The sequence below is a fragment of the Homo sapiens genome, chromosome 6 (assembly GCF_000001405.40).
Source record: "Homo sapiens chromosome 6, GRCh38.p14 Primary Assembly".
Classification (NCBI taxonomy): Eukaryota; Metazoa; Chordata; class Mammalia; order Primates; family Hominidae; genus Homo; species Homo sapiens.
In genome coordinates, this window is record NC_000006.12 from 126,720,436 (window position 1) to 126,732,085 (window position 11,650).

An 11,650-nucleotide genomic window follows, 5' to 3' on the forward strand; every position below is an offset into this window, starting at 1 on the left:
TGATGACTAATCACAGATTTTAGGGCAGTATGAGTTACATTCAAGTATACTTAAAAGGTGACCTTTCAGTTCATTCTCAAAATCTTGGCCTGTGCTCTATGAATGGCAGGCCACTAACTTTAGACATGCTGTTGTGGTTCATTTTAGGCTTCCTTGGTTGCAGTACAGAAGATGCAATGCCAGCAGTGCTTTTTCAGGAGCTCCCTCTGAAGAAGATCATGGCTCAGTTACCATGGACACCAAGAAGCTATGCAGCTTTTTATTCTTTTTACTTCCTTCATTATGTGCCCTCCCAGGAAATATATTTTCATTAGTAACTAGGTTTTGAAACTTTTGCCAAGACACCAGCCTAACCTATTGCTCTCTAAACAAATACCTTCAGTATCTAATACATAGGTATATGCCAGTCTGAGCCAACTGTGCTATTAGGAAACTAATAAATACTCCTTTGCTTCCTATTTAATGAGAAAAAGCACGACAATATTGCTCATGCCAGATCAGGTTTTGATTGGTATGTGCTTATCCTTCATAAACAAATGTATTTTATATGAAAAACCACAGGGGAAATATTTTTATTTATTTTATTAGTTGTACAAAAGCCATGTTGGCAACTGAAGAACCAATAAAATAAAATTGTCTCATGTGGTTCTTATTATGGAATCAAATAGTAATGTAAAAGGCAAGCACACACCAATCATAATTCCATCTGGCTGAAAGAACAGGAAAATGTGGCTCCATTTTCATTAGGAAAAGGAGGCATATATTTCATAATGTGTTCAAATGTGGCTCTAAAGGTACTCCCAGTACACTACTGCATTTTGTACCACTCATGGGGTGCCATATCTACTGATGCAGGTTAATGTAATCAAAGTGACTTGAAAGGAGAGGACTGCTGTTAGCCTTGCATCTGCATTAATAGAGCACCAACAGAAGCTAGAGCAACATTTCTTGGCATTCTGGAAAGAAATGCATGTTGAACCAGTAAGCAATATGTATAGCCCTTGCAATATACACTTGGCATATTTGCAGCAAGTAAGTTGCCATTCATGTAACCACCAAAAATACATTCCAGAATGTTTACTCTTTTCAGTAAGCAGATAATACCATTCAAGCTCTGGACTTAAAAGATTGCATGCATAAATATTTTCTAAATTCCTTTAGTGCTGTTTTTGGTTTATCTTCAAGGAAATATAAGGGTAGCTATTATCAATAGAAGGTAGGTATTCATTTGTAAGAGGTTGGGTCAGCAAGACACTGCTCTATTGAATCATATCTGGGACAACATGGAGTGGTCATTTGGGCCTCTGGGAAGTGTGGCATGGAAGAGTAGTTCTTTATTAAGAACAAGAAAGTAGCTAGCCCTGAGAATAAAGGTTGATTTGCTTTGCTGAAACTGGTTTTCCAGCCTCTGTTGGTGATTTGTTTTTGAAGTCTTGCTTTTTTTTCTTTCTCTTAATCTGCTTGTGAGTAGATGACTAAGTGATCACGTCACCTAGAAATATGTGTGAGTCTCCTGATTTTTGACTCATGTGTGCCACAACTAGGATGGAATGATTTCCCTATCCTGAACTTGTTTGGGAGTGCAGAAAAAATGATGTAAGTTTTTGACATATTTTGTTAAATAGGTATGAGACTTATGTATGACACATTTACTTGGCAGAAAAGTAAGTGCAGGAGGGGATTCAAGTCACACAAAAGCTCTGGATTTATAATCCTACTTAAACATCTATACATTTTGTAAATTCACTTAAAATATAGAGTCAGCAGACAAAAATTGAAACTTATGACTAAAGTAAATGTTTTTGAAAAGTTAATATGGTGTTTTCATTAACAGCATCCATAATTACTAAATGTATCCAGAATCTATACTACTGGATGTGTTTATTTGGTAACCAAATGTCTGATCAAATATATTATTGGACCTGAAATAGCCTCTCCACTGGACACTAGTCAACCATAGAATATGACGTTTGGCTAGTATTCCTAAGAATCTAACAGTAGATGCTAAGTGGGAGGAAAATTTGTTTGCCTTCTTAGGGTTTAATTATACCTGGAACAATTGGAGGCCGTATATAAAAGGGACTGACCAGCTTCTGACACTATTTTTCTTCTTCTTTACTGAGAAAGGCTGACAAAGAAACACTAGTGAGGTCCTGGCTTTGGCATCAGGAAGTCCTGAATTTGAATACTTGATCTGCCACCTAATAACTGATTTATTAACCAGATGCTTTTCCTTTGGAAATCCAATGAAAGGATAGATCTTGAATATTTTTGCTTACCATTTTATCTCCAAACGATCATCCTGTGTAAGGCACAAATTAGATGTTCAATATATAGTATTAGGGAAAAAAAGTGAAGGTAAAAATATCTCTAAACTTAATTTTTCTTATTTTCCTAATTTATAAAATACTAACAGTTTTTTTTGACACAGGGTTTTTCTGTGTTGCCCAGGCTAGAGTGCAGTGGCACAATCACGGCTCTGTAGCCTTGACCTCCCAGGCTCCGACTATCCTCCCACCTCAGCCTCCCAAGTAGCTGGGACTATAGATGCATGCCACCACACCCAGCTAATTTTTGTATTTTTTTCTAAAGACAGGGTCTCGCCTTGTTGTCCAGGCTGGTCTCAAACTCCTGGGCTCAAGCGAGCCACCTGCCTAGGCCTCCCAAAGTGCCAGGATAATAGGAGTGAGCCACCATGTCTGGCCACTAATACTTATTTTACAGGGTTATTTTAAGGATTAAATGTGATATTTTATGTATAAAACCTAGAATATTTCTTAACATAACACAGGTGAATGCTTAAAAGGTGTGATGGTAATTATTTATTTGATAGGCTATACACCTATATATGAAATACTTTAATTTTTTCTCTATCTGATGCCTTCCTTGACTGTACTTAACAATTAATTTGCCCCTTGAAGGTGAAGACGAGGTACATTTTGAAGAAAGAAGAAAAAGGATGGGGACTTAGAAATAATATCATATACATTTGAAAGACACACACAAACCAAAATATTTTTCTTTTACAAAATGCCCAAACCCTAACCAATGTTAATATATCTCCATCAAATGCCTAGAAGGCTTTTTTATATACAATTCAAATATGTGTAGATTATATTGTAAAAAAAAATTTTCAATTCTATTGATTTGAATTCAATAGGAATGAAGAGAGGGATAAACAATGGCAATTTTTTTTTTTTTCATGAAGACAACCTTTTTGTCTTGAGCCCTTTTAGCCATGTAATGTAGATCAGCATGAGTAAGAAAACAGACCAGGATGGAAAAGGAAGTATTGGTCATTTTAATGTTGTATTACAGGGTGACTAGCAACAGAGTGAGGAAGGGAACAGAGAAGTAGTTTGGTGAGGTCAATAGCACTGCAGATATGGGAGGTAAAAACGAAGCAAACTTAACCCTACAGGGTATGCCTGCCAAGAACCGCCGCCTTCACGGAATTGCAAGACAGCAAGGATGGAAGGCACAGGTTTTCTGTACCAACTTTTAGGGCTTTGTACATGAGTGGCCCCAGGCCTCCTGTGTATGGGCCACTGATTAATCCTTTGAACAGCATTGCTTCTGTTTTCCGAAAGCTGGGCTGGAGCTCAGCGCAGCCGCCGTGCCAAGCCACTAGAAAGGAAAACCAGAACCGGCGCTGATCTTTCAGCACTGTGTTCCCATCTACAATGTTTATTTCTCTAAATCTTTTAACAATTAAAATACTCTCAATTAGTATACAACCATCTTTATGATTTGCTATATTCTTTCAACTTTCAGTGTAACATTATTTATTTTAACTTCAATTTACTTTTGATGTGGTGCATGTATACAATTTACCACAGAACCCGTTTTAACATTTAACAGCACGCTTCCTTTTTCCTTCCTCAAACTATTTTAAATCACATGTTTTAAATTTTCATTGGATTCAGATATGTTTTCAGCAGATAGACAGTAAAACAAACAGAAACAAATTGATTTTGGTAAACAGCAGAGATGTAACACGAAGCAAAAGTTCAATTTATACTTTTCATGTTTTGCTTACCCATTTTTTTTTGACAAAGGGTACAATTTTTTATTTTAACAGATAAGATCATCTCAACTAGAGGCAATAACCATACTATTACAGTCTTGTTTTTCCTTCGTTTGAGCCGATGGTCTTATCTTTGAATTATCACACCATGTTAAGATTTCTTTAACAGTTAGTACATGGTTGGGTGGGTAATGGTTGTACTACAAAATCTCGTGTTTATTTAAAATACAAAGAGCATAACTACCACCATCAGCATCAACACCAAAAAATTCCTTGTTAAAACAAGTGAACTAAAAAACAAAATAAAACAAACAAAAAAAAGAATGTCTGCAATTGCATTTCTTTTTCAAAAAAAACCTTTTATTTACTTTTTAATGAATACATCTAGTTAGTGAATACTATCATGACATTCCCTTCAGGTCAAATCAAAATCAGATAACATTTCTAACTGCCTACCAAACATGGAGCCCTTCCCCCAGGAGCTCAGTCTTATCACTAGATATTTCAAAGAGCCCATTGGGAAACTTCCTTCCTGTCATTCCAAGGTATTTTAAGCAAGTAGACTCTTGGAGAATATCAATAGAGGACGATGCCATGGCAATGATGATGCTTCCTGCGTGGATTGAGAATCTTAGTCTTCCCATGAGTCTCTGCTGTGTTAAATGATGTACAGTTAAAACTTCTACAGAATGACTCTTAGTAGATTAATTTGAATGCTTATTATACATTACCTCATTCATTTTCTCTGGACACACATTGAAAGAGAGGCTTTCTCCATTACACTGGGAGCTCAGAGATTAAGTAACTCGATTGCAATCTCGTGGGAGAGCAATCATTTGAGTCCAGGCCTGAATGAACCAACCCCATGGATATCCTGCTCAGTATAGCCCACCTGTGCACAGAGACCACATCCTGAAGAAATTTACCTGTACGCAGAATAAAGGAGGAGAAAGGGGCAGGGAAGGAGAGTCAGTAGTTCAGTGTGAGTTCTGCTTTGTCCTATATCACCTCCTTGACTAATCCTGATTTCCTTGCTCACTTAAAACTCTCCTTCCCTGACTGAGTATATTAGCTTCTATTGCTTCATAACAACCACAAACTTAACTCAAAAGAGCATCATCTATTTGCTCTCAGTTGTGTAGGTTCTACCTCTATTCAGGGTATAACAAGTTAGAAATCAAGGTGTTTCCAAGGTGTTTTCACCTGGAGGCAGTGGAGGAAGTTCCTCTTCTATATTCTTCTTGTTGGAAGAATTCAGTTCCTTTCAGTGGTGGGACTGATGGCTTCATTTCCTTGCTGGCTGTCAGCTGCTCCTGGGTCCTAGAGTTTCTTCTCCAATCCTTGCCATGTGGCTTCCATAGACAGTTCACCACAAGGGTATTTGCTTTCTTCCAGGCCAGCCAGAGCTTATCTCTTTCCTCTTCTTCCAGCAGATGGAGAAAATCCTGTTTTTAAAGGCTCACGTGATCCAATAAGGCTTACCTGGATAATCGCCCTTTCTTACATTTAGCTGTACCATGTAACATAACCTAATGACAGGCCCAGAAATTAGAGCAGAAATCTTGGGGAACATCACACACTTTAGCCTGCCATAGTGAGATGTCATCTATAGTTATTCAAATATTTAATATGTCAAATGACATTAGAGTAGGAAATAATTTATCCAGAGGGGATATATTCAACTTTTTAGGTGTATTGTTAAGCACATAATTATATAATTAATAGAATCTATAAGAAAGACATTTTAGGGGTAGCACAACAAGACATTTTTGGCTGACAGTGAATATGTGAAGTTATAATTAAAGAATACACAGTCAGCGGTTCCAAGATGGCCGAATAGGAACAGCTGTAGTCTATAGCTCCCAGCGTGAGTGACACAGAAGACGGGTGATTTCTGCATTTCCAACTGAGGTACCAGGTTCATCTCACTGGGGCTTGTCGGACAGTGGGTGCAGTGCACCAAGCATGAGCCGAAGCAGGGTGAGGCATCACCTCACCCGGGAAGTGCAAGGGGTCAGAGAATTCCCTTTCCTAGCCAAGCAAAGCTATAACAGACTGCACCTGGAAAATTGGGTCACTCCCACTCTAATACTGCCCTTTTCCAATGGTCTTAGCAAGCAGCACACCAGGAGATTATATCCCATGCCTGGCTCGGAGGGTGCCACGCCCATGGACCCTCGCTCATTGCTAGCACAGCAGTCTGAGATGGAACTGCAAGGCAGCAGCGAGGTTGGGGGATAGGCACCCGCCATTGCTGAGGTTTGAGTAGGTAAACAAAGCAGCCAGGAAGCTCAAACTGGGTGGAGCCCACCGCAGCTCAAGGAGGCCTGCCTGTCTCTGTAGACTCCACTTCTGGGGGCAGGGCATAGCCAAACAAAAGGCAGCAGAAACCTCTGCAGACTTAAATGTCCCTATCTGACAGCTTTGAAGAGAGTAGTGGTTCTCCCAGCACAGAGTTTGAGATCTGAGAACGGACAGACTGCCTCCTCAAGTGGGTCCCTGACCCTGAGTAGCCTATCTGGGAGGCACCCCCCAGTAGGGGCAGACTGACACTTCACACGGCCATGTACCCCTCCGAGACGAAACCTCCTGAGGAATGATCAGACAACAAAATTTGCTGTTCAGCAATATTCACTGTTCTGCAGCCTCTACTGCTGATACCCAGGCAAACAGGGTCTGGAGTGGACATCCAGCAAACTCCAACAGACCTGCAGCTGAGGGTCCTGACTGTTAAAAGGAAAACTAACAAACAGAAAGGACATCCGCACCAAAACCCCATCTGTATATCACCATCATCAAAGACCAAAGGTAAATAAAACCACAAAGATGGGGAAAAAACAGAACAGAAAAATTGAAAATTCTAAAAATCAGAGCACCTCTCCTCCTCCAAAGGAACACAGCCCCTCGCCAGCAACGGAACAAAGCTGGATGGAGAATGACTTTGATGAGTTCAGAGAAGAAAGCTTCAGATGATCAAACTTCTCCGAGCTAAAGGAGGAAGTTCGAACCCATCGCAAAGAAGTTAAAAACCTTGAAAAAAGATTAGATGAATGGCTAACCAGAATAACCAGTGCAGAGAAGTCCTTAAAGGACCTGATGGAGCTGAAAACCATGGCATGAGAACGTGATGAATGCACAAGCTTCAGTAGCTGATTCAATCAACTGGAAGAAAGGGAATCAGTGACTGAAGATCAAATGAATGAAATGAAGTGAGAAGAGAAGTTTAGAGAAAAAAGAATAAAAAGAAATGAACAAAGCCTCTGAGAAATATGGGACTATGTGAAAAGACCAAATCTACATCTGACTGGTGTATCTGAAAGTGATGGGGAGAATGGAACCAAGTTGGAAAACACTCTGCAGGATATTATCAAGGAGAACTGCCCCAACCTAGCAAGGCAGGCCAACATTCAAATTCAGGAAATAGAGAGAACACCACAAAGATACTCCTCGAGAAGAACAACTCCAAGACACATAATTGTCAGATTCACCAAAGTTGAAATGAAGGAAAAAATGTTAAGGGCAGCCAGAGAGAAAGGTCAGGTTACCCACAAAGGGAAGCCCATCAGACTAATAGCTGATCTCTCGGCAGATGCTCTACAAGCCAGAAAATAGTGGGGGCCAATATTCAACATTCTTAAATGAAAGAATTTTCAACCCAGAATTTCATATCCAGCCAAACTAAGCTTCATAAGTGAAGGAGAAATAAAATCCTTATAGACAAGCAAATGCTGAGAGATTTTGTCACCACCAGGCCTGCCCTAAAAGAGCTCCTGAAGGAAGCACTAAACATGGAAAGGAACAACTGGTACCAGACACTGCAAAAACATGCCAAATTGTAAAGACCATCCATGCTAGGAAGAAACTGCATCAACTAATGAGCAAAATAACCAGCTAACATCATAATGACAGGATCAAATTCACACATAACAATATTAACCTTAAATGTAAATGGGCTAAATGCTCCAATTAAAAGACACAGACTCCAAATTGGATAAAGAGTCAAGACCCATCAGTGTGCTGTATTCAGGAAACCCATCTGACCTGCAGAGACCCATATAGGCCCAAAATAAAGGGATGGAGGAAGATCTACCAAGCAAATGGAAAACAAAAAAAGCCAGGGGTTGCAATCCTAGTCTCTGATAAAATAGACTTTAAACCAACAAAGATCAAAAGAGACAAAGAAGGCCATTACATAATGGTAAAGGAATCAATTCAACAAGAAAAGCTAACTATCCTAAATTTATATGCACCCAATACAGGAGTACTCAGATTCATAAAGCAAGTCCTTAGAGACCTACAAGGAGACTTAGACTCCCACACAATAATAGTGGGAGACTTTAACACCCAACTGTCAACATTAGACAGATCAACAAGACAGAAAGTTAACAAGGATACCCAGGAACTGAACTCAGCTCTGCACCAAGTGGACCTAATAGACATCTACAGAACTCTCCACCCCAAATCAATAGAATATACATTCTTCTCAGCACCACACTGCACCTATTCCAAAATTGACCACATAGTTGGAAGTAAAGCACTCCTCAGCAAATGTAAAAAACAGAAATTATAACAAACTGTCTCTCAGACCACAGTGCAATCAAACTAGAACTCAGGATTAAGAAACTCACTCAAAACCACTCAACTACATGGAAACTGAACAACCTGCTCCTGAGTGACTACTGGGTACATAACAAAATGAAGGCAGAAATAAAGATGTTCTTTGAAACCAACGAGAACAAAGACACAACATACCAGAATCTCTGGAACACATTCAAAGCAGTGTGTAGAGGGAAATTTATAGCACTAAATGCCCACAAGAGAAAGCAGGAAAGATCTAAAATTGACACCCTAACATCACAATTAAAAGAACTAGAGACACAAGAGGAAACACATTCAAAATCTAGCAGAAGGCAATAAATAACTAAGATCAGAGCAGAACTGAAGGAAATAGAGACACAAAAAACCCTTCCAAAAATTAATGAATCCAGGAGCTGGTTTTTTGAAAAGATCAACAAAATTGATGGACTACTAGCAAGACTAATAAAGAAGAAAAGAGAGAAGAATCAAATAGACGCAATAAAAAATGATAAACGGGATATCACCACAGGTCCCACAGAAATACAAACTACCATCAGAGAATACTATAAACACCTCTATGCAAATAAACTAGAAAATCTAGAAGAAATGGATAAGTTCCTCGACACATACACCCTCCCAAGGCTAAACCAGGAAGAAGTTGAATCTCTGAATAGACCAATAACAGGCTTTGAAATTGAGGCAATAATAGCTTACCAACCAAAAAAGGTCCAGAACCAGATGGATTCACAGCCGAATTCTACCAGAGGTACAAGGAGGAGCTGGTACCATTCCTTCTGAAACTATTCCAATCAATAGAAAAAAAGAGAATCCTCCCTAACTCATTTTATGAGGCCAGCATCATCCTGATACCAAAGTCTGGCAGAGACACAACAAAAAAAAAGAATTTTAGACCAATATCCCTGATGAACATCGATGCAAAAATCCTCAAAAAAAAATACTGGCAGACTGAATCCAGCAGCAAATCAAAAAGCTTATCCACCACGATTAAGTGGGCTTCATCCCTGGCATGCAAGGCTGGTTCAACATACACAAATCAATAAACGTTATCCAGCATATAAACAGAACCAAAGACAAAAACCACATGATTATCTCAATAGGTGCAGAAAAGGCCTTCGACAAAATTCAACAGCCCTTCATGCTAAAAACTCTCAATAAATTAGTTATTGATGGGATGTATCTAAAAATAATAACAGCTATTTATGACAAACCCACAGCCAATATCATACTGAATGGGCAAAAACTGGAAGCATTCCCTTTGAAAACTGGCACAAGACAGGGATGCCCTCTCTCACCACTCCTATTCAACATAGTGTTGGAATTTCTGGCCAGGGCAATCAGGCAGGAGAAAGAAATAAAGGGTATTCAGTTAGGAAAAGAGGAAGTCATATTGTCCCTGTTTGCAGATGACATGATTGTATATCTAGAAAACCCCATCGTCTCAGCCCAAAATCTCCTTCAGCTGATAAGCAACTTCAGCAAAGTCTCAGGATACAAAATCAATGTGCAAAAATCACAAGCATTCTTATACACCAATAACAGACAAACAGACAGCCAAATCATGAGTGAACTCCCATTCACAATTGCTTTAAAGATAATAAAATACCTAGGAATCCAACTTACAAGGGATATGAAGGACCTCTTCAAGGAGAACTACAAACCACTGCTCAACGAAATAAAAGAGGACACAAACAAATGGAAGAACATTCCATGATCATGGATAGGGAGAATCAATATCGTGAAAATGGCCATATTGCCCAAGGTAATTTATAGATTCAACGCCATCCTCATCAAGGTACCAGTGATTTTCTTCACAGAATTGGAAAAAACTACTTTAAAGTTCGTATGGAACCAAAAAAGAGACTGCATTGCCAAGTCAATCCTAAGCCAAAAGAACAAAGCTGGAGGCATCACGCTACCTGACTTCAAACTATATTACAAGGCTACAGTAACCAAAACAGCATAGTACTAGTACCAAAACAGAAATACAGACCCATGGAACAGAACAGAGCCCTCAGAAATAATACCACACATCTACAACTATCTGATCTTTGACAAACCTGACAGAAACAAGAAATGGGGAAAGGATTCCCTATTTAATAAATGGTGCTGGGAAAACTGGCTAGCCATATGTAGAAAGTTGAAACTGGATCCCTTCCTTACACCTTATACAAAAATTAATTCAAGATGGATTAAAGACTTAAATGTTAGACCTAAAACCATAAAAACCCTAGAAGAAAACCTAGGCATTACCATTCAGGACATAGGCATGGGCGAGCACTTCATGTCTGAAACACCAAAGCACTGGCAACAAAAGCCAAAATTGACAAATGGGATCTAATTAAACTAAAGAGCTTCTGCACAGCAAAAGAAACTACCATCAGAGTGAACAGACAACCTACAGAATGGGAGAAAATTTTTGCAATCTACTCATCTGACAAAGGGCTAATATCCAGAATCTACAAAGAACTCAAACAAATTTACAAGAAAAAAACAAACAACCCCATCAAAAGGTGGGCAAAGGATATGAACAGACACTTCTCAAAAGAAGACATTTATGGAGCCAACAGACACATGAAAAAATGCTCATCATCACTGGCAATCAGAGAAATGCAAATCAAAACCACTATGAGATATCATCTCACACCAGTTAGAATGATGATCATTAAAAAGTCAGGAAACAACAGGTGCTGGAGAGGATGTGGAGAAATAGGAACACTTTTACACTGTTGGTGGGACTGTAAACTAGTTCAACCATTGTGGATGACAGTGTGGTGATTCCTCAGGGATCTAGAACTAGAAATACCATTTGACCCAGCCATCCCATTACTGGGTATATACCCAAAGGAATATAAATCATGGTGCTATAAAGATACATGCACACATATGTTTATTGCGGCACTACTCACAATAGCAAAGACTTGGAACCAACCCAAATGTTCAACAATGGTAGACTGGATTAAGAAAATGTGGCACATATACATCAAGGAATACTACGCAGCCATAAAAAAGGATGAGTTCATGTCC

General features: G+C 39.1%; 1 long non-coding RNA gene across 2 annotated transcripts in view; it reads left to right on the plus strand.

Moving 5' to 3' along the window:
* LOC105377992 (uncharacterized) overlaps positions 1-1,393 on the plus strand; it is a 61,454-nt gene extending 60,061 nt beyond the window's left edge. For both annotated transcript variants that reach the window (XR_001743836.2, XR_007059742.1), the window contains one exon: positions 148-1,393. This is a non-coding gene — a long non-coding RNA (uncharacterized LOC105377992). The remainder of the gene's footprint in view (positions 1-147) is intronic.
* The last annotated feature ends 10,257 nt before the right edge of the window (positions 1,394-11,650 follow it).